At 35.6% G+C, this 28000-nt stretch overlaps 1 protein-coding gene and 1 non-coding gene across 3 annotated transcripts; one reads left to right on the plus strand and one right to left on the minus strand.

Moving 5' to 3' along the window:
• On the minus strand, positions 10719-27989 carry GNRHR (gonadotropin releasing hormone receptor). Of its 2 annotated transcripts, none has more exons than NM_000406.3 (3): positions 27415-27989; positions 18169-18388; positions 10719-14325 (listed from the first exon to the last, which is right to left on the minus strand). In NM_000406.3, exons 1-3 carry the CDS (start codon positions 27934-27936, stop codon positions 14081-14083), a joined length of 987 nt encoding a protein of 328 aa, NP_000397.1. In that variant the 5' UTR covers positions 27937-27989; the 3' UTR covers positions 10719-14080. The 2 variants fall into 2 exon arrangements, with proteins under 2 accessions (NP_000397.1, NP_001012781.1); NM_001012763.2 differs by having other exon boundaries at positions 10976-14325; positions 18169-18260.
• Positions 20837-20987, plus strand: LOC124900175 (small nucleolar RNA SNORA62/SNORA6 family). The gene has a single exon (XR_007058523.1). It is a non-coding gene; the product is annotated as a small nucleolar RNA SNORA62/SNORA6 family (small nucleolar RNA).

A 28000-nucleotide genomic window follows, 5' to 3' on the forward strand; every position in this document is an offset into this window, starting at 1 on the left:
GTTATTTACATTATTTACAATCTGGATAATACCCTCACTGATGTAATTAGGGATGCTTTAATGCATAGTGGCAGGGATAGGAAGTAAAGATGTGAGAGCAAATATTAAGTCCAGGTTATCATCTCCGACTAACTGAGAATCAAAGTATCTATTTTTATGAAGCAGTGAAATGACAGTTTTAGTATGCCAAGAGGTAAACACTACTCAGAAAAGTTTTCCTACATGTTCTTTATTATCAAATAAAGATAATAATAATAATAATAATAATAATAATTTAAAAATTACCTGCATGAATTCTTAGCCCTCTGCTGGTGAGATTCTGTCGTTATTTCTATGTCTTGGGAAATTGAAGATGAAGGAAATAGGTAATAAATAGATTTTACACCATAAAGTTTTGTGGATAGATCTGATGAATGCTTTAAATGCCAGATGGTCCCATTACTTTTATTACTTCCACTGGACAGAAATGATGGACATTGATGACACCTAATTGCAAACTCTATTTAGTTGCTGAAAGTGTGACAGACACCATACACCTTGTTTCTTAATAGATCTCCTTTCTTCTTGCTAACGGGACCCCACTTTTGTTCAGATATAGTGCTGCCATGAGCTTCATGGCAGGCTGTTTTTCCCTAGCTCTGCACACTGAGTTATGACTGTGAAACTGTCCCTATCAACTGCATAAAATTAGCCAGGGAAGAAGGGAAGGAGAGAAACAAAAACGAACCAAGCTTGTAGCACATTCAGCATTAATCATTAGGTCAGCTTGCTGTCTGACCTGCTTCCTCATGGTTGTTTCCTGCCTATTGCCCCAGAATCACGTAGACCCTGTCACAAGATTATAGTTCCCCTAGATAACATCTTAAGCATTGTGAAGCTTTTATCCATTTGAGATATTCTTTCAAGTCCCGCATACCGGTGAAACTACTGATGTGAAACTACTGATGCCAGCAGGTCTGAAGGACCCCATGAGGTGCTGACTCAGCAAAGAATGCAGTTTCCACATCCTGATGATTTCATCTCTCTTCTCCTGACCCATCAGCAACCTCAATTTTCCAGCCCCTGGCTGTCCACAACCCCTTAAAAACGTCAGCCCAGAACTCTCATGGAGATGGATTTGAGGGTTTTTCCCATGTCCTTGCTCAGCTGCCCTGTAATCATTAAACTCTCTGCTGCTAACTCTGCTGTCTCAGTGTATTGGTCTGTTATTGCATAGCAGGCATATGAACCTGGTGGTCCTGTAACAATTGGTCTAAAATAATCATAATCTCAATCCACTCAAAAGTGGATTGGCTTAGACATTGACATATGAGACAATTCTGAGTAATAGAATTACTCAGTGAGGGATAGTCTTTCAGATGGGTGACTAAAGAAGATTCTTCCTTTTGATAAGAACAGACACATTAAGGAAATATTCTTTTTTGTGTCTTTGGGCTTGTTCTATGAGGGAGTGACACTTGCAGCTGTTACAGGTTTCTCCTGAACATTATGGAGAAGCCTGAGATCAAAAGCTGACAGAGTGAATATGCTGAAGTCCTAAATTCACTGGAGTTCTGAATCAACTCACCCTGGGATTGACTGTTACGTGAAATAGTAAATGTCATTTTGCTTAAGTCATTTTTAGTTGTGTTTTCAGTTACTTGTAGCTTAAAGCATTCTAACTGATAAAGGTAGTATTTTTCTCTATTATCTAATAAAAACATTGAGATAGCAAACGTATCATTTCCACACAAAGATATCACAAAGAATTTTGCAGGGCTTTGCATATTTTATTTCTCTTAGTATGTATATATATTTACAAAATTACAAATATGTATAATCTATATGCATTATAAATGATATATAAATTATATTTATAATTATATTACATATAAATTATATGTTATACAGGTATATGTACTATATATTTTGTGTATGTATTACACATGTATATATGTGTACATATGTCTATACATGTATATATTCATGTGTATATATGTGTATATACAGATACACATATAGCTATTAAATTAAGTATAGATATATCTATAAAATATATATTACATATGCACATATATATTTCCCTGGAGTATAGGGTAGGCCTTGCTGTGTTATTCTTTAAGAACAATGATGACATTTTATTAATTCTATCTTTTCCTAGGAGAAGGGAAAATGTTACATTGTCAAAGTCCCAAAGCCTTTCAGCCTGAAGCCAGGAACAATTGTTCAAAGTTTCTTTGGAACATCAAGGAAGGAAATCCAGATTTTACTTTAAGTGCAATGGGGAGTCATTAAGGATTTTGTGTAGGTGAGTTACATTTCGATTATATTTTGAAAAGAGCATTCTAGCTGCATAGTGGAGAATTGGTTATAGGAGAACAAGAGGGAATCGATGAGAAGAATGTGGCTCTAATCAGGTGACAGAAGTGATGACAGATTGGACTAGATCAGTAACAATGAAGATATAAATTTGTGAAATGGAGATAGAGATTTGGGAAATATTTTGCAGACTGAATCAATTAGACTTGTTGACGGGCTGGATATAAGATACCAGTGAAAGATGAATAAAGGATGAATCCCAGGTTTTGGCTTGAAAAAACTGGGCAGTGTTGATGCCTTCATTGAGATGGGAAGAATAGATGAGAAAGTGATTTAGGGGAGAGAGAGAGAGTTCATTATAACATCACAGATTTATTTAGTTTAAGATGTCTAATGGCTGTGCATTTGGAGAAACCAAGTAGGAATTTGGATCTATGATTCCATAGCACATGAGAGATATCTGAGCTAAATATATAAATTTAATTATATATATTTAATTTAATTATATATTTAATATATATATAAATTTATATGTAATATATAATATATAAATATATAAATTTAATTTTATATAATATACAATATATAAATATATAAATTTAATTATATATATATGCATGCACATTTTTGTGCACATACACGTATGTACAAACACACATACATATATAGGATTGGGTGATATTCCCAAGGGGGAGAGAATGAACAAACAAACCAAGAATCCCTAAATATGAGCCCACATAAATGTTAGGTAGAAGAGGAAAAGGAAAAACACAGAAAAAACTGCTAGTGAGGTAGGAGGAAAACCAGGAGGAGATGGTTTCACAGAGCTAAGAGTGTCTGTATAGGTTTCACAGAGCTAAGAGTGAACTGATATAGGAATTTATCACTGTCCAGTTCCACTCAAGTATTGATACTGGGCTTTCTTTTCCACACCACCACCACTCCTCACGGTATAGACTGATGAAAATAGGGATTTTCACACAGGGTATCATTCACATGGGGGCTCAACACTGTTTTAGGATGATGACTGTTTTCATGAATGATAAATGGATGATATGCAGGTATCTGAAAATGGAAGGACGTCACTAGACAGAAGAAAAACAGCAATGGGATATCTTAGTCAGAGATGAGATTTACTTACTTGAAGAGGGAGGGATGGCTTTCAGACACTGTATGGATGGAATACTTGTGTCTCCCCAGATTAATCTGTTGAAGCCCTAACCTCTAATGTGATGGTATTATAGGAGGTGGGGCCTTTGGGAGGTAGTTTCAGATATGGTTGTGATGGCAGGCCCCTCATGATGGGATTAGCATCCTTATAAAAAGAGACAAGAGTGTGCTCTCTCTCTCTCTCTCCCCTCCCTTCCCATGTGAAGATACAGCAAAAAGACAACAATCTTCAAGCCACAATGGCCCTCACCAGAACCCAGCCATGTGGTCAGCCTGATCTCGGACTTCACAGCCAGCAGAACTGTGAGAATTAAATCTTATGTTTAAATCACCTAGCCTATGGTATTTTAATTATTTATTTATTTTTATTATGCTTTAAGTTCTAGGGTACATGTGCACAACGTGCAGGTTTGTTACATATGTATACATGTGCTGTGTTGGTTTGCTGCACCTGTTAACTCGTCATTTACGTTAGGTATTTCACCTAATGCTATCCCTCCTCCATGACCCCACCCCACAACGGGCCCCGGTGTGTGATGTTCCCCAACCTATGTCCACGTGTTCTCATTGTTCAATTTCCACCTATGAGTGAGAACATGCGGTGTTTGGTTTTCTGTCCTTGCAATAGTTTACTCAGAATGATGGTTTCCAGCTTCATCCATGTCCCTACCAAGGACATGAACTCATCGTTTTTTATGGCTGCATAGTATTCCATGGCGTATATGTGCCACATTTTCTTAATCCAGTCTATCATTGATGGACATTTGGGTTGGTTCCAAGTCTTTGCTATTGTGAATAGTGCCGCAATAAACATGTGCATGCATGTTTCTTTATAGTAGCATGATTCATAATCCTTTGGGTATATACTCAGTAATGGGATGGCTGGGTCAAGTGGTATTTCTAGTTCTAGATCCTTGAGGAATCACCACACTGTCTTCTACAATGGTTGAACTAGTTTACAGTCCCACCAACAGTGTAAAAGCATTCCTATTTCTCCACATCCTCTCCAGCACCTGTTGTTTCCTGACTTTTTAATGATTGCCATTCTAACTGGTGTGAGATGGTGTCTCATTGTGGTTTTGATTTGCATTTCTCTGATGACCAGTGATCATGAGCATCTTTTCATGTGTCTGTTGGCTGCATAAATGTCTTCTTTTGAAAAGTGTCTGTTCATATCCTTTGCCCACTTTTTGATGGGGTTGTTTGATTTTTTTCTTCTAAATTCGTTTAAGTTCTTTGTAGATTCTTGATATTAGCCTTTTGTCAGATGGGTAGATTGCAAAAATTTTCTTCCATTCTGTAGGTCACCTGTTCACTCTGATGGTAGTTTCTTTTGCTGTGCAGAAGCTCTTTAGTTTAATTAGATCCCATTTGTCTATTTTGGCTTTTGTTGCCATTGCTTTTGGTGTTTTAGTCATGAAATCCTTGCCCATGCCTATGTCCTGAATGGTATTGCCTAGGTTTTCTTCTAGGGTTTTTATGGTTTTAGGTCTAACATGTCTTTAATCCATCTTGAACTAATTTTTGTATAAGGTGTAAGGAAGGGATCCAGTTTCAGCTTTCTACATATGGCTAGCCAGTTTTCCCAGCACCATTTATTAAATAGGGAATCCTTTCCCCATTTCTTGTTTTTGTCAGGTTTGTCAAAGATCAGATGGTTTCCTTAAGCTGATAAGCAACTTCAACAAAGTCTCAGGATACAAAATCAATGTGCAAAAATCATAAGCATTCTTATACACCAATAACAGACAAACAGCCAAATCATGAGTGAACTTCCATTCATAATTGCACAAAGAGAATCAAATACCTAGGAATCCAGCTTACAAGGGATGTGAAGGACCTCTTCAAGGAGAACTACAAACCACTGCTCAATGAAATAAAAGGGGACACAAACAAATGGAAGAACATTCCATGCTCATGGTTAGGAAGAATCAATATCGTGAAAATGGCCATACTGCCCAAGATAATTTATAGATTCAATGCCATCCCCATCAAGCTACCAATGACTTTCTTCACAGAATTGGAAGAAACTACGTTAAAGTTCATATGGAACCAGAAAAGAGCCTGCACTGCCAAGACAACCCTAAGCAAAAAGAACAAAGCTGGAGGCATCATGCCACCTGACTTCAAACTATACTACAAGGCTACAGTAACCAAAGCAGCATGGTACTGGTACCAAAACAGAGATATAGACCAACGGAACAGAACAGAGGCCTCAGAAATAACACCACGCATCTACAGTCTATGGTATTTTACTATGGAAGCCCACCCTAAGATTTCAATTTAGCTTCCATGTAGTTCCCTGGTGCTTGGCAATCTCCTGACTCACTACCTTGTCACATGGTCTATCCCAAGTCAGTCCTTCTCCTCTTCCCATATCCCCCTACTCCAATATTCACCCATATGTGGCCAAGTCTTCCTCCACCTGAGCTCCTTGCAGAGGAATGAACAATTGTTTGAACATTAATGAATATTAAAGTAAGTAAAGAAGAGACAAATCTCCACTTGTTTTGATAGTAGGGTGATCTTTGGTGAGCTTAGGAAAAGTTTCAACCAAGTAGTCATAGCATGATCCAAGTTAACATGCATTGAGCCAGGCGTGATGGTTCATGCCTGTAATCCCAGCACTTTGGGAGGCTCATGGGGGCAGATCACTTGTGGTCAGGAGTTCACGACCAGCCTGGCCAACATGGTGAAACCTCGTCTATACTAAAAGTACAAAAATTAGCCAGGCATGGTGGTGCATGCCTGTAATCCCAGCTACTTGGGAGGCTGAGGCAGGAGAATTGCTTGAACTTGGGAGGTGGAGGTTGAAGTGAGCCGAGATCGTGCCACTGCACTTCAGCCTGGGCAACAGAGTGAGACTCTGTCTAAAAAAAAAAAAAAAAAAATCAAGGCAAGTTAACAGGCATTGAAGATTAAAAGGGGAGTAAAGAAGGGGAGTTATCTGGTGTTAACAACTCTAGAAATTTTCTGTGAAGGTGAGTTTAGAAATGGTAGGACACGAAGCTGAAATTGAATATATGGTTGAAAAGGATTTTTTTGAAGACTTAGGATAAGAAAGCACTGTTACATGCCAGTGAGAATTTGGTAAAAAGGGGGAGATCTATGGTGTAAGAGAGAGAAAGAGGGAATAGTTGAAGAAATTATGTCCTCAAAGTGTAAGAGGGTATGATAGCTACAGCATAAGTAGAGGGGTTCAGCTTTAAGAGGAGCAGGGACAAGTCTTCCATCATGATATGAAAATAGAAAAAAATGTAGTTTAAGAAGATTTAAAATTTAGTAGTGGGAATTTGAGATGCTCTCCTCTGATGGATCTGTCAATTTTTGCATATTTATTTCTTTGGAATCTGTTTTCTATTGAATTTGAGGGTGCTAATCTGATGATGGTTTTATTTTGTCAATTAGCTGGTCATCAAATAGTTATCTGATAGCAATGGACTTGGGAAGACTTTGGGGAGTTGGTTTCTGGAACTACATCTATTGGGATAGGCAGCTGTGGTAGAGGAACCAGCTGTTAATAATGATAGAAGGTACCTCCTAGGAAGTAGAACACAATTGGCACATTTAGTGATAGATAATGGAAAGTTCAGGAGAGAAACTAGTGATGAAGGAATGGATTAGAGCATAGCAAGATACATTCTATCAGGTGGGTTGAACATAGTAATTAGCAATCTATAATTAGCAATTTTGGTACATAGACTGGCATATAGTTTGTAGCAGGAAAGCCTGCCATCAGTTAGCCTGTTCTCCCCAATTAACATTGGTTTAAGAGCACACTTCAGGCCAGGCACGGTGGCTCACACCTGTAATGCCAGCACTTTGGGAGGCCAAAGCTGGTGGAGGTCAAAAGTTTGAGACCATCTTGGACAACATGGTGAAAACCCGTCTCTACTAAAAATACAAAAATTAGCTGGGCTTGGTGGTGAGCGCCTGTAATTCCAGCTACTAGGGAAGCTGAGGCATGAGAATCACTTGAACCTGGGAGACAGAGGTTGCGGTGAGCCGAGATAGTGGCCATTGCACTCCTGCCTAGGAGACAAGAGCGAAACTCCATCTCAAAAAAACAAAACAAAACAACAACAAAAAAACAGACTTCAGTTCCAAGAATTTTAGAGAGAAGGCATTAAAGGCATTAGAATGGCAAGAGTAAGGCAGGCCTTATCCTAGCTTTCTGGGGAGATCACTGAGATAGTAAATTCGGCATAGAAAATAAGATGTGAATCACTTTACCAGGACTGGCATGTTAATTTGGGAGGTGGTCTTACAAATAATGCAGGGGTTTAGTTCCTACTATAAGGATCCATGTTTTCTGAGGTCTGAAGTTTTTACATATGGGTAGGCTTTCTATAAGTGGGTATGAAAGGAAATATTTTGCTAGACGAGGTGGCCCATGCCTGTAATCCCAGTACTTTGGGAGGCTGAGGTGGGAGGATCACTTGAGGCCAGGAGTTTTGAGACCAGCCTGGGCAACATAATGAGACCCTTTCTCTACAAGAATAAAAATAAAAAAATTAGCCAGGCATAGGAGTGCACGCCTGCAGTCCCAGTTACTTAGGAGGCTAAGGCAGAAGGATTGCTTGAGCTTAGGAGTTGGAGGTTGCAGTGAGCTATTATCACACCTCTCCAACCTGGGTGAAAGAGCGAGACCCTATCTCTGACAACAACAAAAAACTAAAACATTATACTAACGAATACCACAAACATCATTAAATCTATAAAAAATAATGTAATATTTTCTTATTAACTGCTTGACATAACTCTAAAGTACTTTTTTTCTTCTAAAATATTTTGGCTGCATGCTACTTGATTATATTTTAGTATAGCAATATTTTATAATACCATTTTTTATACATTGATAGCTTCGAAAGGTTTCTTTCAGTTTTACAACTATTTATTACTAATGACATCCTAGCATGAAATCTGACACATTGCAATGCATAAAAAATATGTATTTGCTGTTTCTAGTACTGCTATGGTTTTGTGCCCTAGAAGCACAGGAATTCTCATAAATTGGATCTTGTACATTTCCAATCAAAAGAAAAAAATGTAGGGGGGTTTATAGTTGTATACGCTGCTGCATTGTTCAGTGTACTTCTGAAAAGAGAGAATTTCCATTTTGACTAGGATTTGATAAGGACCAAATCTATTCCTTATGCTTTTCCTGCTAAGTATATTAATTTTCTATTGTTGCAAAACAAATCACCACAAACTTAGTGTCTTAAAACAATACATGTTTATCTCATAGCTTGTATGGGTAGGGAGTCCAGGTACAAACTGAATCTTTTGCTCAGGGTTTCACTGGGCTATAATCAAGGTGCTTGCAGACTGCGTGCTTATCTGGAGGTTTGACAAAGGAAGAATCCACTTCTAGGCTTTTTCAGGATGCTGGAAGAATTCATTTCTCTGTCTGACTGAAGGCCCTAGCTTCTTACTGGCTGTCCACTGGGGGCTACTCTCAGGTCCTAGAGGCTGTCCACAATTCTCTGCCACATAGCTCTCTGCAAAGGCATTTTACAATATGACTGTTTGCTTAAGGGTGAATTTCTCACTTCAGTTTGCTAAGATAGTCTTATATAATGTAATGTAATCACAGGGCTGATATCCTAGCACCTTTTCTTGATAATGTAACCTGATTAAGGAATGACATCATTAATTTGCCATAGGCAAAGTATGATTGAAAGCAAGTCACAGGTTCCAATCATGCTCAAAGAAAGGGGATTATATAAGGGCATACCTTATTGGGAATCACCTTTGGGTGTACATGTACAATAATTTTCCATGGAGAAGCTTCTGTACATTTTGTGTCTTGTTTTCTTCTCACCACTTACATGGTTCTGCTGCCATAGGTCTAGACACATTGATATCATGATATGACCTCTGGCCCTACACTTTCCTGTCACTATGCCAGGTAAGTCACTATAGTAGGTATTTTTTCTAGTATTATGCCTGGAAGTTTCTTGCAATGGTTAGCAACGACTTAGCTCAACATGAAAGCGACCAGGAACCACATGCTATCCCTCTAGAGTCAATCTAAAGATATTCTTAATTCAAATTCCCCTTGGCTGGGTCCCAAAAGTACACATGGCCATCTCAATACCACTTCATCTGAGGGGAAGGGTGACAGAGGGAAAGCAAGAGTGGAAAGAGACAGTCTTAACCAATTGCAATTAAAATACTTTTTTTGGTGTGGGTTTTATAAAAACATGTGACCACGTGAAAACATATTTTCCAGGGCCCCAAGAGTGGACTGAAATAAGTGAGGAATTTGGAAATTAAGTTTCATTAGCTTTATAGGAAATCCATTTCAATTTGCCATTTATTTATTAACTTACTCGATAATTGTTCTCTGAATCTGAAGTGATGGCCAGAATTTTTAAAAAGTGTGAACATTTCTTATCCAATGAACTAGTTATAAAATCAAACAAATAAATGAAGAAAAAAACAGGAGCCAAGAGTTCCCAAGAAAGTAAGTAATTAGGCAGAACCTATCCGCTATACATCAGATAAAGATTCTAACCACTAGAGTTTAAAATATTTGGATTTAATTCATGAAAAACAATGAAAATCCTTTCCTTTCCCTTAGAGCTACATTTATTGTGCAATCATTGTGCTTCAGGGCTTCATTTAGTTTTTATGCATTGTATTTAAATTATGTGCTACTTAAATTTGTGGCATATGTAGTTTAAATTTTGTTTTGAAAAGTTAATTGGTGATTATTGCAAGGACTGCAGTTTTCTGACCCAAAAGGTCTATTTTTCTCTCTTCCTCCTCCCCACCCCAAAAATAAAAAATAAAAAAAGCCTTCAATTTTTTTTAGTTATCAGATTGCTGAGTGTTCAGGGAAACTGAACACTGTCCCACAAGACAAATTATTCCTTTAAAGTATTCGAGATAATCTTTGCTAGTGATTTGTTTAGGGTCAGTCATGTGTCCCAGTTCTAGCCAATTTAAGGGGAAGTACTGAGAGTTATGGGAAAGAGAGATCCATAATGAGAAGTGACCCTTTCTTTCTGCCTTTGACCCCTAGAATGGTGACAGCCAACTTCTAGTCAGGAAAAAAAAAAAAAGCCTAGTATAATCAGAGAAGCTGACTCAAAGCTCTGACTTAACTGATTCTGCATGTCTACCTCTGCACATCCTATAACATGAGATGGAAAAATGCCACTTCTAGTTTGACATTTTTATTCCTTACAACAGAACACCTTCTAATAGAAACAATGATGTATAAAATAAAAGTCAGACAAACACACACACATATAACATTTATTATGTTTTCTCTTAATACACATGCAATATGAGTTCATTTTGGGAATTTGGAATTACAGGAATTCACAAGGAAGAAATTTTTAAGAAATCATGCAGATAACTATATTAACAGTTTTCATATATGTTTATCTATTGCTGCTATGCATACATTTTATATAACTTTTAAAGTTAGACTAATTGTTTTAAACTTGATTCCTAATAATCATAAAAATGATAAGCAAGATTATATTGAATCTGATTTTTTTTCTTTTAAAATTTCTTTTATTCATATGAGCACAATGTATAGTAATTAGAGAAGCCCAAGGCATTGGTTCAATGTAGGAAAGTGGACCACAGGTAAAATAGATGGAGTTCTAGAAGTATTTTAACTGCCTAAAAACATTATCTCTTCATGACTACCACCTAAGTTCTAAGACAAAGTCACTCTCAGGAAATTTCAGACTAATTTATGCTATGTTCCCTGGTAGATAATGTTTGTGGTACCTTCCCCAGAGTATTTTTTTAGCTACTATATTTCTATATTTCTGTTGAATAGGCTTAAATTGAACTAATGTAGGCTTTGTTTAATTTATTGTCATTAGTTAATGTCACTCCTGTACTAAACTGAATTGCTAAAAGAAATTCCATTTTTAACTAGTTTTATAGGCTAAGTAAAGGAAGAGAAACCAAGATAGAATCTCCAATATCTGATATATTAGATTGACTCTGTGGAACATTTCCTTTTTTACAAGGAGTCCTCACCTTTTATTATAATAGGACATAAAATAAATGATTGTAATATCAAATATGAAATATTGTCTGTTGAGTGGAATATCTTTAATTTCAAAGCCATATTTATCTTTTGTGCCATAAATTTTAGTTTATATATTACATTATAATGTATAGATTATACATTATAATTTATGAACCATAATATTCATATAGAATAATTATTTGTGTTATGTTTTTTATTACATATTGAACCTTAAGAGAGTTTGTTGGTTTGAAAACAATAAGCATATTGAAGCAATCTTGTTTCAATATTTACATTTTTATGTTTGCATATAAATAGATGAATAGATTATGTTATATTTTTATTGTAATAGATTTCTTTATATATATACAAAGTCAACTAGGACTTCTTAACCTTTTTTTGTGCTATGAGCTGCTGTGGCAGTCTGGTCCATCCCTCTCAGGACTGTGTTTTTAAATGCATAAAATAATACAAATAGGACTAAAATAAAAAATACATTGAAATATATATATTTTTTGCATGAAATGTAGGTTAAGAACCCCTGAGTCAAGATTTCGAATAGCCCTTTAGTTAATGTGTAAAAAAAAAAAATGCCTGAGGCAATTCCTAAGACAGAGAGATCCATAATGAGCACACAAGAAGAACCAAGCTGAGATACATTCGTTAACACGTGTGTGATAAAGCCCTTAGATTGTATCTGTACAAGTGTGTTATTTTTGATTTTAAATCCAGAAGTAAGAATTATCAGTTTAGGAATAAGTATATGATAGAGACTTAGAGGACACTGGTTTTGTTTCAACTTATCTACATCCCTGTGTTATCTACAAGAACTATAAAATCTTGGAATGGGTTTATGTGCCAACTTGAGCATTTTAGCACACTACAGAATTTTAGCCTTGTCCAATTCAACTGTAGAACTGGGCCATGAATTGGTTAATTAAAGGTATGAGTTTAATGGAAAAGAAGCTATGAATGAAAGAGTGAGTAGACAGAGGGAGTTCAATTGAGACAGAATTGGAAAGTAAGGTAGGATATGAAAAAAACAACAACACAACACTATAAAACTGAAGTATGAGAGGAGAAAATCAAAGAAAGAAAGGACGTGCCATTAGTTGGCAATTTGCTTTCCATAATACCACACACCTGGAGTATTTAGAAATTACATTTCATCTTTTTTTGTGGCAGTACATAGCTCATATAAATATAATGGTATCTTACCTATTTAAAAAATGTTAAATGGCTTAATTTCTTTTAAGACTCTTATGTTTTTCACATTAAATGGGTATTATACTCCCATTATTTTCATCCCTTTCCATTTTTCATGGAAGAGGTAGACACAAGCCTGAATTACATAAAGAGGTCTTGTTGTGCAGACATATTTTGGAAACCATACTATTTAATGTGAATATCAGTAGGTGTTAGTTGTGCCATGGGCTGCTGTGGCAGTCTAGTCTATCCCCTTAAGATTGTGTTTTTTAAATGCACAAAATAATACAAATAGGGCTGAAATAAAAACATTACATGGAAATATAGTGTTGTGCATAGACTGCAGGTTAAGAAACCCTGCATCAAGATCTTTCCCTCCTTCCCCTGACATGTTCTGTCTTCTTTGATCTGTACAGACTGAAGCTGTAGTTTTCTCTCCAGAGTTCCTTTTGTGTATCAAGCATCTTTTTGCTTGTGCATTTGCTTAATTTTGTTTTAATTATTCTCAGTTATTTATGAAATATGGATTTAGTAAGATCAGGAGAGAGACAAAAAATTCTTCACATTAAAATAGAAGTCATACTATGCATAGAGCGTACTCACTATGAGTATTTTCTTAGTTGCATTTGGAAACATTGTTATTTTATGGCAATTAATTGCCACAAACTCCACAGACTAGATAGCTTAGAGGAATGTTCTAAACCCCTGTCCAAATCCTAACCCCTCTAAAATTTCCCTTTATATAGAGATACTTCACAACCTGTACCACATAAATAGGATGAAGGAGAACTACTCATAGTCTTGTCAGGTTGCTGGAGTGGTTGGTGGGATTGGTTACTGACTCCTCCAAATGTCAGAATGCTTTTGAAGCCAAAGAGAAAAATAGATTCATTTTTTTTCTTTTTAACTATAGGAGGGAAAGTTGATATTATGGGCAAAGGGCTCTGTGCTCTATGTATTATATAGCATACAACTCTAATTGCTAATATGCCCCTTTTGGAGAAAAACTCACCAAAGCATGCTGAGTTTAGACCTGTGTTGTGGTTTCTCACCTTTGTTTTTTTGGCATCCTTGTGCCTTAGGCTGAAGGTATTTTAAATATTAGTACATTATTATGCAAAGAGAAAGTGATAAGAAACCTACATAATGTGTTATATGAGGTCAGAAAAGGCAGAGATTAATTTAGAAGCTTATGAGGAAGAGAAAATATTTTAGTATTTTTCCTGAAGACTTTTCCTTAATAATTGAGGCTCTGAAGACTGAGTTTCTAAAAGAATGATAACTTAAGTGTAAATCCTACTTTGTTTGTATGTAAACATGCTCCAACATTTGTGTTAATCATTCCCAGATGGAGAGATTCATTACCTTACCCTTCTTCATATGACTTCTTGTGTAGTCTATCAATCACAGAGAAAAATATCCATAGATAAGTGGATCAAAGCATGGGTTTAAAAAGGCAAAGAGAAAGAAGAAGTGATTTACTGGGTCTGACAACCTGTTTAACATTTCAGGATCAAACCAATACCAAATTCCTAGGACATAGTAGGGAGTCCAGCAGACAGTAAATGAAGTGGCAAATGCAACCGTCATTTTTAGAGTCTTCAGCCGTGCTCTTGGTATATTGTTCTTGGACTGATTCAGTTGTAGTTCTGTTGGATAGAGAAAAGAGCAGGTGTTTAAAGATCAGTTTTCTTACAAAACCAAAGTGGACAAAAAGGAAGACAGCATCACTAATTCAACTTAATCAATGGGAGAAAATTTCCATTATTTTAAATAATAATAATTTGTTTGAAAAGCATGTTTTAATAAGAGTTTTCCACTATGTCACATAATGAATAGAAAAGTTTGAAGATGATAGTGCTCTTATTTCTGCCAAAGTAATCTGGATTTGAAATATGGGGTACTCAAACTCTTAACATATAAATTTAAAAGAGTAGATGAGGTTGAGCTCAGTTGAATTCTTTCTTAAAAAAATTATTTTTTTATTTTAATAGGTTTTTTTGGGGACTGATGGTGTTTGGCTATATGAATAAGTTCTTTGGTGGTGAGTTCTGAGATCTCGGTGGACCCATCACCTGAGCAGTGTACGCTGTACCAAATGTGTAGTCTTTTATCCCTTGCCACCCCCAACCCTTTCCCCTGAGTTTCCAAAGTCCAGTGTATCATTGTTATGCCTTTGCATCATCATAGCTTAGCTCCCACATATGAATGAGAACATATGATGTTTGGTTTTCTATTCCTGAGTTACTTCACTTAGAATAATAGTCTCCAATTCTATCCAGGTTGCTGCAAATGCCATTATTTTGTTCCTTTTTTATGGCTGAGCAGTATTCTATAGTACATATATACCACATTTTTTTATTCACTCATTGATTGATGGGCATTTGGGCTGGTTCTGTGTTTTTGCAATTGCAAACTGTGCTGCTATGAACATTCCTGTGCAAGTATCTTTTTCATATAATGCCTTTTTTCCCTCCTGGGTAGATACCTAGTAGTGGGATTGCTGGATCAAACGATGGTTCTACTTTTAGTTCTTTAAGGAATCTCCACACTGTTTTCCATGGTGGTTGTACTAGTTAACATTCCCACCAACAGTGTAAAAGTGTTCCCTTTTCACTGCATCCCTGCCAACATCTATTATTTTTTGATTTTTTGATTATGGCCATTCTTGCAGGAGTGAGGTGGTATCACATTGTGGTTTTGATTTGCATTTCCCTGATCATTAGTGATGTTGAGCATTTTCCCCTATGCTTCTTGGCCATTTGTATATCTTCTTTTGAGAATTGTCTATTCATGTCCTTAGCCCACTTTTCGATGGGATTGTTTGTTTTCTTCTTGCTGATTTGTTTGAGTTCTTTGTAGATTCTGGGTATTAGTCCTTTGTCAGATGGACAGATTGTGAAGATTTTCTCCCACTCTGTGGGCCGTCTGTTAACTCTGCTGATTATTTCTTTTGCTGTGCAGAAGCTTTTTAGTTTAATGAAGTCCCATCTATTTATCTTTGTTTTTGTTGCATTTGGTTTTGGGCTCTTGGTCAGGAAGTCTTTGCCTAAGCCAGTGTCTTAAAGGGTTTTTCCAATGTTATCTTCTAGAATCTTTATGGTTTCAGGTCTTAGATTTCAGTCTTTGATCCATCTTGAGTTGATTTTTGTGTAGGATGAGAGATGAGGATCCAGTTTCATTCTTCTACACATGGCTAGCCAATTATCCCAGCACCATTTGTTGAATAGGATGTCCTTTCCCCACTGTATGTTTTTGTTTGCTTTGTGAATTCTGACTTCAAAACAAAATTATGTTCACTGAGTATCTCTGCCACTAAGGATAGTAAGTATCATATGTGGATGAAAGTGTACTACCCCAAATTATCTATCTCAACTGTGTGCTTCTTTCTATGATATCTGAAATAATTTCACTTTTCATATTAATACAGCCATTAAAGTTCATAGGTTACACTTGTGAAGAAATTTGCTGGAAATTAATGGAATTGCTGACTTTTTACAGTCAGGCTGCCTACCTGAAATTTTGGACTTAGTTCTTAAAGGTAAAAAGGTGCAATTTTGAAGTGCTCAAAATCTGTTCTTGTATTTCATAATCGAGAACTTCTGTGTCAAGTAAGAAATACTCTTCACACACTATATTTTTTTTGAGGGAAACAGATAGTGCTATTCAGAAATAGTCATTCTGAAATTTCTTATTAATTGGTCACCAAAGGGTGGACATATAGAGGAGAACATTTACATGCATGGTGTTTTAATTATAAAATTAATTTTTATCTAGAAATATTAAAGTAATTTATTAAATACAGACTGATTATGGATTTTTAGCAGACAAAACCAATTACTGTTTACTCTGTGCCTTGAGGCCTTGCTCTTTTCACATACTATTCTTTTTTTTTTTCCTGAGTTTCGCTCTTGCTGCCCAGGCTGGAGTGCAATGGTACAATCTTGGCTCACTGCAGCCTTTGCCTCCTGGGTTCAAGTGATTCTCTTGCCTCAGCCTCCTGAGTAGCTGGGACTACAGGCATGTGCCACCACACCCGGCTAATTTTTGTATTTTTGGTAGAGACAGGTTTCATCGTCTTGGTCAGGCTGGCCTCGAACTCCTGACTGCAGGTGGTCCACCTGCTTCGGCCTCCCAAAGTGCTGGGATCACAGGCATGAGCCACCGCACCTGGCCTTCACACACTATCGTTTAATCCTCAATATCTGTAAACTTTGGTGACACATCCATTTAAAATTCAAAAAACCATCTTGGCTTAGCACATGACTGAAAATGAAAAAATATCAAGGCAACCACAACATGTCATGCTTTTTCTTCTTTTGAAACATCATCACAGTTGATAATTGGTTTACTGTTTATGACTTTTCTGCTAGACTGTAGTCTCCATGAAAGCAGGATACTTACTAGGTTTTTCTTATTCACCATGGTATCCCCACCTAGCACAGTTTCCAGCAACATTGAGTAGTCAGTATGTATTAATCAAATAAATAAAATAATAAATAAATAAATGTGTTCATAATATTTATTGCTTCCTGCCTCTGCTTTTTTGTTTTTCTGCTTATGTACTGCTCATATTTCTTCAGATTAACTCCTATTTGAGATCCACCTTCTTATTTTCCCTCTACCCTTCTTAGATATCGCTTATAAAATGGAATCTCTCGAGATAAGATTTTGAAGGCAAATTGTTCTTGCAGTATACTTTTTTGGAAATATTAAATACCATTTTGTGCTGGCAGGTGGAAACTGCCCAATTCCCTATTAGAGAGCATCACCATGAATATTTTCTTTTGAAAATATCTACTGAGACTATTCATGCTATAATAATTAAGATGATTTCCCTGATAAGTTGTACCAGATATAACTTATGCACTATGTCATTGATAACACGTCTTTTGGATGTCATGCCAACATAACAATGTTTATTTCATGAATTTATAAATTTTAGTTTTTGGGAATGCACCATTTTACTAAAGCAAAAAAGGTACAAACACATGTGTGAAGTTTTGAATGAAATAATCATTTACATAGTCAATATTTCGCATATTAACATACACACAAATGTGCATAGTTTATGTCGTGTAAATATATGGGATTTGAATATAAAATGAAACAGCTTACTTTAGCTAATTTATTGGATAGCATTTAACAAGTTGTACTTTGCTATAGTCTAGATATCACAATTTGTACTTGCTGCCCAGCAGAAACCATTTGCCAATTCTTATCCTGGGTTTTAATGGAATAATCATTCTTTCTTATTTAATTTCATGGTGCAAATGTAGAACAGCAGAAGATATTAAGTAACCTTATCTGTAAATTGATTATGATAAAACCATAATAAAAATATTACCTTATGGGGTGATTGTGAATATTAAATGAGCTAATATATGCAAACTGCTTAGAACAGTATCTGTCACATAGTTCATGCCACTCTGTTTTGAGCATTGCTATTTAAAAACTGCCCACAAATGACACTAACTCTAAGGAATACATACCGTGGGGGTCCTGATGAAGGACCCGTGTCAGGGTGAAGATGATTTTTGCATTGCAGATCAGCATGATGAAAAGAGGGATGATGAAGAGGCAGCTGAAGGTGAAAAAGTTATAAAATGCTTGATGCCACCATTGTGAAAAACTGCAGTGTGTTACACATTGAGAGAAAACTTTTGTCTGTCCAGAGCTGTCTGCTAGATGAATCATCCTGAAGATGTATAACTGTATGAGACAATAAAAAGCTATGTTACTTTTTTCCATATGGTATTTGAAAGTTTTCTCTTTGGTACTCTGCTAGCCTTCTAACATGTTACCTAAAGCAATTTCTAAGCTCCTTAGTGTTATACTTCTGACGTTTCTATGAAAAGTCATGTGAATATTTACTTAAAATATGTTTGGGTAAGTGTCAATAGATCTGTAAGATTTTGGATTTTTTAGAAATTATTTCAACCTTGAAGAATAATCATCCCTCAAGGATTTAAACGTTGTTTGTATTTCAGTTTCCAGTACAATTATGCTGAGTAAACTTTTTGCAAGTGATTTTGCTCATAAGTTATATCTGCAGTAACTACAACTGTGTCTGGCACTTAAAATGTACCCCCCAAAATACATATTTAAATTTTATTTTAGAGACAGAAGCCCTATTAAAATGACATTTTAAAAAATGGTCAAAAGACATGAAGAGACAGTTGCTCAAAGAATGATGGAATATGTCAAAACAAAACAAAAAAAAACAAACAAAACAACCCAGGAACCAGCTGAAAAGAGCTTCCACTGGCCAAATCTGGGGCAGTTTAAGCATTAAAATACAAAAAAGAAACTGATCTAAAAGAATGAGAAACTATTGAATAAAGTATGAGCCCATACTTATAAAAATTACAAGATAACAAAAACAACAAATAAATGGGGGGAGAAAAACCTCTTCCATAATGTAGAATGCCAACTAATAAATGAAAAGGAATAAACGGAATTAGTGATTACCAAATGTTAATCACTATAATAAGTGATTACAGCAAGAATCATCAATAGCTGGTAAAAATAGTGGGTGGAAGTTTGAGGAGAACAGGATGTTTACAAAATCTCAAAGTATCAGTCTGCAGGTTACTTATTCATTGTAAGGAATACAATAATAACTTTACAGAAGAGAAATAGCTAGATAAGTATGTTAACATTGCCAATAATAGGACCTATTGACAATGTCTGTCTCCTTATGTAATGCATTGAGAACTTAGCATCACTAATTTGGTATTTTTGCTTAAAGTGTATAACCTGAATCTAACCTTGAGAGGACAAATCCCAACTGAGAGACATTTTACAAAATGACTGGTCTGCACTCTCCAAAAATGTCAATATCATGAAACACAAAGAAAGACTGAGAAATGGTTCCAGCTAAAAGAATACTAAAGAGGTATGCAACTGAATCCACCACATAATCTTGGATTTTCTTTTGTTAAAAGGGCAAAAATTAAACCGGGATAACTTATGAGCTCTGAATAGAACATATAAATTAAATAGTGGTATTGTATCAATGTTAAATTTCTTATTTTGACAATCATTACTGTGGCTGTGTGTGAGAGGCCTTAAACACACATTGAAGTATTGAGGGGTAAAGAAAAATCATGTCTACAGCTTACTTTTAAGCAATTGGGAAAAAGTAGATAAGATAAAATAAATAAGCAAATGTAAAATATTAATATTTGAGAAAATCTGGGTGAAGGTATCCAGAAATATGTATGATTCTTGTAACCATTCTCTGAGTGTCAAATTATTTTTAAAAAGCCTTTATCCTACAACTTTTAAAAACACAAACTGAATCAACAATTAAGAAAATGTTGCAAGTAATTTTCAAAAATAAATTCTAGTGGACATTTATTCATTATTCCTCTATTCATTAAACACTTCTTACCTACTTATTTATAAGCTTTTCCCCTGAGAAGTTTCATTTTACTGTGAAACATTATTAAAATGAAATGATGAGAGTTTAAGCATTTTTAAATTGATAGCAAGTAAATTCAAACAAAAGTGTTACAATATTTTTTATTTTAAGCAAATGAGGGATTCCATTTTTTTAAAGTTTTTGATTGAATTAGAAAATTTTAATTACAATATTAAGAAACATGATTCTTTTCTACCCTACCAACAAAAAACACTATTAAATATTTTAAAAATACTTCATTTTTTTTTAAAAGGCATACTCCACTCCCACTCCCATCACCTCAAAAGGGAAAGAAACCTTGGCCCTGTTAAATAAGTTAAAAAGTTGATTTTCAGTTTCAGAGCTTTTTTCATTTTCAAGGGGAAAAAATGATTTTAAATTCATCCACTAGAGGGCGTCTAATAATTTTACTATCACTCCAGTCAAGAAACCCCAACAAGTGCATTCAGCTAATTTTATCTTATGATTCAGACTTTTTTCCCACATTACAAAGTGAGACTTTTAGTTTTCTGTAATTCTTTGCAACCTGACCTTATTTAAAGTTCAGCTTTGAATTAGATCCAACAGAGGCTGTGAGTTAAAGTCTTTGGAAGGCTTACTTCACGTAGAACCTGAGAATCTTATATTTCTTTAAGGTTTTAGCTACTTCCCTCTGCACCATCCCAGCTGGACTTGGAACCATATGACCTGAGTTTTACTTTCTGCTCTGCCCTGGGCCACATTTTCGTCTTAATATTTCATGTTTTAAAGGCATAATGATGTCACTGACTGGCTGATGAAATCCCAAGCGTAGGTAGTATGCTACATGAGGGGTGAGTTTTTTGCTAACACCACAAAGGTCTCTGGCCCAATGAGTGGAGTTTGATAGGAGTTCTTGTGACAAGTCTAATGTTATTGCATGCCAGTTTTGAGGAGAGATGAAAACATTTGAAAAGCAGTGTGTTTTTTTTCTACGTTTGTCTGTATTTCTTACTCAGGCCTCTCAGGCATTACTTGGCCTTTCTGTTTTCACACCAACTTGGTGAGTTCTACTATAAGATTCTAAAAAGATGGGTAGTGCGTGGTTCAAATTGGTTCATTTGTAACTGGAAAAAATTTATAATTAAAAAAATAAAATATGTTTAAAAAAGCCATAATGATGAAACTTTCAATTAGCAATGACTTTGAAACATAGTACTATGATTGAGTTAATGGCTATCTTATTTAACACATGCTTATTTTTTAAGCAACTCTTTGGTAAAATAAACTATAGCTGGCATTCTCTGTCATAAAAGATAAAGCAGTTATATCCTTCAATCAGGGAATTTAATATTTGGTAGTGCAGATTTAAAATGTATGTGACCCAGGTAATACAAGATAGACCAATAAATTTTAAGAAAGGTATAATAAAGTGTACACAAATTCAGAATCTTACTTGCCCATAAATTAACTTGCTATTGTCTTAGTTCCGTTTATTTTGTGCTCCAAGGCCATGTTCATTTGAATGATTTATGTAGAGATCCACTTTGCTTTTAGTTGTTCATTTGTCCTTGGATTATATTTCTTTAATTTTGGTATATTTCTCCTCTCTTGCCCCTGGCCCTGGTTCTTATCAGTGTTTGCTTTATTTTGCCATAAACAAGAACATTCTGTTTTTGTTTTTCACAGTCAATTGCAGTTGTTCATTTCTTCTTAGAATATTATCTTTAACACTCACCTTACCCACACTAATTACACCCTTACCTAGTGTTGTCCACAGGTAATTATCTTCAGATGTGTGCTTCAGTTTCCTCATCTACATACATGGAGAAAATAGTAATATCTACCTCTAAGGCCTATCATGACAATAAATGAGTTAATACATGCAAAGCACCTGGAATAGTGCCTGGAACACAGCACTTTATAAATCTTTACCATTATTATAATTAAAACTTGAGGCACACAATTTTTATATGTATCCATATGCGTTTATATGTTTATAAATGTGTATCATATATATTTTTTTCTTGATGTGTTTTAAGCATCAGTTTTCACTTCAAGCTTTTTCTGCCTTTTTCTTCCCCAGCCTCCTACAGGTAAAAAGGAAATAGACAATATTGCAGTGTTCACTGGGCAGAGTTGGGTAGAGTGTAGTAGTTAAAAGAGCTGGCTGCACCCATTAACTCGCATGGCACATGTATACATATGTAACAAACCTGCACGTTGTGCACGTGTACCCTAAAACTTAAAGTATAATAATAATAATAAAATAAATAAATAAATAAATAAATGGGAAGCCTCTGACTGTTAAAAAAAAAAGAGCTGGCTATGGATATGGCCATATATAGATAACTAAATATACTGATATACTGAGATTTCCACTTAGTAAACAGTAATTTTGGGCATGTTATATAATATTGGAGGTTTAGTTTCTTCATGTGTAAAATAAAGATAATGATTGTGCATAATTTATGTGATTGTTGGAAGCATTATATGAAATATTGCATGTAAAAGCTTATTTATTTAATATTTATTCACTGCCTGTTCTGTGAACCTAGCATGTAAAAGCTTTTAGCCAAATTCCTGGCACATATTTATGTCTTCAAGCATTATTTATCATCATCAACATTATTGCTATTGTTATTTCTGCTAGTAGCACAGTACTATGTTGTAGCACAATGTTAGGCATATTGTACCTGTGTGATAATATTTATTGAATTTAAACCGTTGGCCAATGTCAGTAGTGCATTCTACACCAGTAAATTCTCTGTGTGTTAAGGCAAGCCTCCACACATCTTCAGACAACATATCTTTACACTAAGGACTAAGGAGTGGCCCACATTTCTTGCCGGCAGGCCTGGGTTAACCATAGAATTTAAAAGCTGTCAATATGTAATACTCTGTATTAGTACAGATAAACTAGTGATAAGCTTAACACAGATAAGCTATGAACTCTTTCTGCAAATAACCTGCTACTCTGGAATTCTTGTGGTATTAAATGACTCTTATTAGAAACCATGTGATTTTAAATTAGATACGGGCACATCTAATTTAGGAAATGTCTTCTCTTCAATTTATATTTACCACCCTAACCACAGATGGTCTTAAACCAAAGCTATCCCAGGGTGTTTGCTGCTTTTTCTTTTCCTCCTTCCCTCCTTCGTTTTTCTTTTCTACCTTTCCTCCTTTTTCCTCCCCTTCCCTCCTTTCCCTCCCTCCCTGCCTCCTTTCCTTCGTTCCTTCCTTCTTTCCTTCCTTCCTTCCTTCCGTCTTTCCCCACTTTTATATACGATACCTCCAAGACTTGAATTACTGTGCTCTGACATGTATAATTAGCAGAGTGAGTATGATAGCTTTGTGACCAGGGAGTAGTTTACTAATCAGTCAGAATGCATGCTATAATTTTGAAAAATTTGAAATAATCCACTTTTATATAAGCATTTCTTTTTGCTGTTTCTTAAAGAACCAACAATTCCATACTCATATTTCTGTACTTTTTCTTTCCTGACTTCAAAACCTCTTTTATGAAGGTAAGAAGAAAGGATGGTCTTAGGAAGAAAGGAAAAGAAGAAAAATAAATATTAAATTAGTATTTAAAATTAAGGTGTAAAGTCTTAGATGATTTTATAAATTGTATGACTTATTCTTTACAATTACTCTTTTAAATGTAAGTAATTTGCTCAGAGTCACATAGCTGGTAGGCAGTATTACTGAGATTTGAGCCCAACTCCATTTGAATCTCACACTCATGCCACTTTTACTATCCCATTGGCTTTTGAACTTTGCTGCAAGGAGATAGGAAGTCTTTAGTAACTGTGACTGAGAGCTAGTGAATAACCAAGTGGAGGACTGGTCCTCCTTTCCCTCTATTTTAACCAGAGCAGCTCCACTTATATCTGTTTCATTCATTATGGCTTTTTGTACAGGATTTTTTGTACTGTATTTTATTTAAAAATTTTTAACAGACACATAATAATTGTACATATTTATGGGGTACATTGTGATATAGAATTTTTTAAAAAGAATTCTATTACTAGCATAAAGTTTGAAAGTTTCTATGCCACACTATGCTAAAACTTCTGAGAATGCACTGCCGAATTATCACAGAACATAGCTTCTGAGGTTAATAATGAGGAAAGTGGAAAATCTAGGAGGCCAATTTGAAATTTGGTCATTCTGAGCTGAGGCAAAATGTCATAAATTCCCAGATCCCCAGCCCTGAGTGGTGAAAACATGTTTGTTAAGTGTTTTTTTTTCAACTGAGGTATGAATTACTCAAATAATAGAAAATCGGTATGTGCACCAAAGGATGAAAATTAAAGTTACCCTTTTAATGTAAATTAGGCACAATAGGACGTGCCTTTGTCAATTACATTTTTTATAATTGACCACAGAGCATGGTGAAGCATGAGACACACTCATCATGCATCACAGTCTAGAAATAAAAAGCCCTCTTTCTCTCTCATGTTCCTCATCAAATATATGTAACATTAGTTATGGGATTGAAATTTCTTTTATTCAGAGAAATTGAAGAGAGCCATAATAAAAGGAAAGAATAAGACAACACGAGTCCAACAGAGCACGTGACACTGGGAATGCTAATGAATCCTTTTAAATCAGTGCTTTTTGAACTGCAGGATATGCTCAGCAATGAGTTGTAATCAACAGTAAAAAATAAAATGTAACAGAATAGAATATTTATTTCATCAAAATTTTTTCTCAGTTATATGTGTGAGAGAAAGAGACAGAGACACAAACAAGGTTTCAGTGTAGTGTGTATTTCTTACTTTGGATTATTGCAAAAGGATTTGAATGCCATTGTCTTCATAGGTTTAGACCTTAGCTCTCTTATATATGAAATAGGGATAATAACACAGCTCCTATTTACCTTATAGAGTTAACGTAAATATCAGCATTACTTATGTGAGGTTATTCAGGAAACTTCAGCAAAGTGCTTTAAAGTGTTGTTGAAAGTAAGGATGAGTCATGTGTTTTACAAAATAAAATAACACCATTTTCTGTGGCTCACATTCACATAAATCTCTCTAGTAATGTATTTGAGGTCAGACTATTACATGAAATTCCTAAACAATTCAAAGTTAAGTTCCTATTTTCTTTTTGCTACATCAAGTTAGATAAATATTTGGCATTATCTTTCTATTATTGCTGTTAATACTTAGATGAAAATAATTGGATTGATAAAGCAATATTTTATTTATAGCTTCTAGGAGACTTCTTCTAAGAAGAATCAAATCGTGAGTTTGCCCTTCAGTTATTATTGCAGATAGGATTATTTCTACTTTGGTTTGGATTTTAATCTACATCAGCACCTCAAATTACCAACTACTTTACACATAGTTGTAATTACACAGATCTTATATTGCCAACAGTCATGTCCTAAAGCAAATGATTTTACTTCTCATAGCCTGCCTTCCCTCTCCCTTCTACAAACAAACAGGCAGACAAACAAACACTCCCCTTCCCACCGGATCATTTCAATGGTTTTACTATTTTAATTCCTAGGCTAAAAAAATTGGAACTTTATTTCCCCCTGCTCTATTATTAACTCTCTCAATCCAATTTGTTGTCAGGTTTTGTATTTTATTTGAAATGTCTCTTTTACTATCTATTCTCTTTGATACCACCCTAGCCCCCTGATCACCTCATTGCCAGATGATTTTTAAAAAAGTCTTTGTTTTATTCCACTCCATTTGGGCCATTTGGGCCTACATAAATTTTCCCAAAGCCTTTTTTTTTTCTTTTTTGAGACAGGTTCTCATTCTGTCACCGAGATTGCAGTGCAGTTGCAGTGATGCATCATGGCTCTCTGCAACCTCTGCCTCCCAGGCTCAAGCGATTCTCCCACCTCAGCCTCCCAAGTAGCTGGGACCACAGGTGCGGGTCATCATGACCAGCATTTAAGCAATTTTTTTTTTAATAATTTGTTGATATGGGGCCTCCCTATATTGCCCAGTCTGGTCTCGAACTCCTGGGCTCAAGTGATCCTCCCACCACAACCTCCCTCCCAACCTCCCAGGTAACTTGGACCATAGGTGCAAAAGTGGAAAGAAAGAATGTGGAAAATTTTAAGAGCATAAGCCTTAGCTAAATCACCTCATTTCAGGTGATATATTTGCTAAACTTATTCTTATGTATTGCATCACTGTGAAATAAATCATATATTTTTCTTCAGAAAATGAAAACATTTTAGTTTTTCCCATTATTCTTATTATGAAACACACACATATTCAAAAGAAATATTAAAGTGAGAAATTGATGGGATAAAACAGTTATCCAGCTTTCTAGTGTCTTGTGCTATATAGTGAGTTCTGCATGGCAGTTTTTTTTTGTTGTTGTTGTTTTTTAACCATCTGGTCAGTAAAAAAAAGTCTAGATAAATTTCCATTTTCAGAGGCAAGTTTTGGAGGATCCTAGTTAATTCTGATTTATTTCTTGACACATCCTTGTATCCTGGGTTTATCATGTAGTACATTTAAATGCAAGAGAAAACTTGTTCATCTGCTATTAACATTCTTTGTTATTTTCAAGAATTTGTCCTTTTCTTCGGGGATCTGATTGTTAAAATGGCAGGTTCAGCAGGTCAGTTAACTAGGCTGCTTCTGGTGAAGGCAACCTGGAAAGATAATTGCCCTCTGTGGGGAGGGCCTGTGCCTACTCTGTCAGTCATATGGCTTTCTCAATAAGCTGCCTCCAGCAAAACTCAAGCTAACTTTAGGGAAATATTTGGATTTCCAAACATCCAAGATGTCTTACTTTTCTTCTATATTCAGTCCCACTTAGCTGCAAACTGCAGAGCAACATACTAACAAAGAATAATTCTCTCTAAGCTGCAGTGACAGAATTCTTAAAATTTCCACTGAAGAAACCCTAAATAAGAAACATTATAAATATTTTCTACCTAGGCAAATTTCATAATTCCTAAAAATTATCTCAACTAAACATTAAAGCCATGTCAACCAAAACAAAAAGAAAAACAGATAAAAGAATAGGATGGAGATAAGGTCAAGTTTGAGAATCGCATTTTTTTTGGGGAAGCATTTGCTACATAATAGAGATTATGTGAGCTACTTTATTTATTTATTCATCACAAAAGCAGTATTAAGTAAGCATTAACCCCCATGTTACATTTTATCGGTAAAGGAACTGAAACCAGAGAGGTTAAGAAGTTTGCCCAAGGTAACAGAACAGAGCCAGAATTAAACTTCACTCTCTGACTTCCAGAACCCAAGCTCTTAAAGGTAATACAGTACTTCCTTTGATAAGACCTTATATCAAATTTAGATAGGAAATCTATGATCACCATATCCAAATAAGTTTGTGTATAATGGCTTACCTGTGGTCCTGCAAAGACACTACTGAGGATCCAGGCCAGGCCAACCATGGACTGTCCGACTTTGCTGTTGCTTTTCAAAGCTAGGGGCCTCGTGATAGCCAGGGAGCGGTCCAGGCTGATCACCACCATCATGAAGGCTGGGGCATACATGGAGAAAAGCTTTAGATAACTGAGAACTTTGCAGAGTAACTCTCCAGCATACCATTGGACTGTAATGTTCCACATCCCATCCAGTGGCATGACAATCAGAGTCTCCAACAGGTTGGCTAAGGTCAGATGTTTTAAGAGCAGCTTCATTCTTGAGAGCTTTTTCCCTTTCTCTTTCTTCTGTGTCCACTTCTGAAGTTTCAACAAGAAAGAAGCATTAAAGGTCGCAGAGAGCAGAAAAAGGAAGAAAGTAACCGTCACTCGGATCTTTCCAGACAAGGTCAGAGTGGGGAGGTTGCCCTGCATCAGTGGGATGCTGTTGTTGATGGCTGAACAGTGATTTTGATTCTGTTCAGGAGAGGCACTGTTTGCCATATTTTCCCAGGACAGAGCTTCAAGCCTTGTGTCTCTGGTGCATCTGATATTTTATTGTAACCGA

Source organism: Homo sapiens, chromosome 4 (assembly GCF_000001405.40).
Source record: "Homo sapiens chromosome 4, GRCh38.p14 Primary Assembly".
NCBI classification, from domain to species: Eukaryota; Metazoa; Chordata; class Mammalia; order Primates; family Hominidae; genus Homo; species Homo sapiens.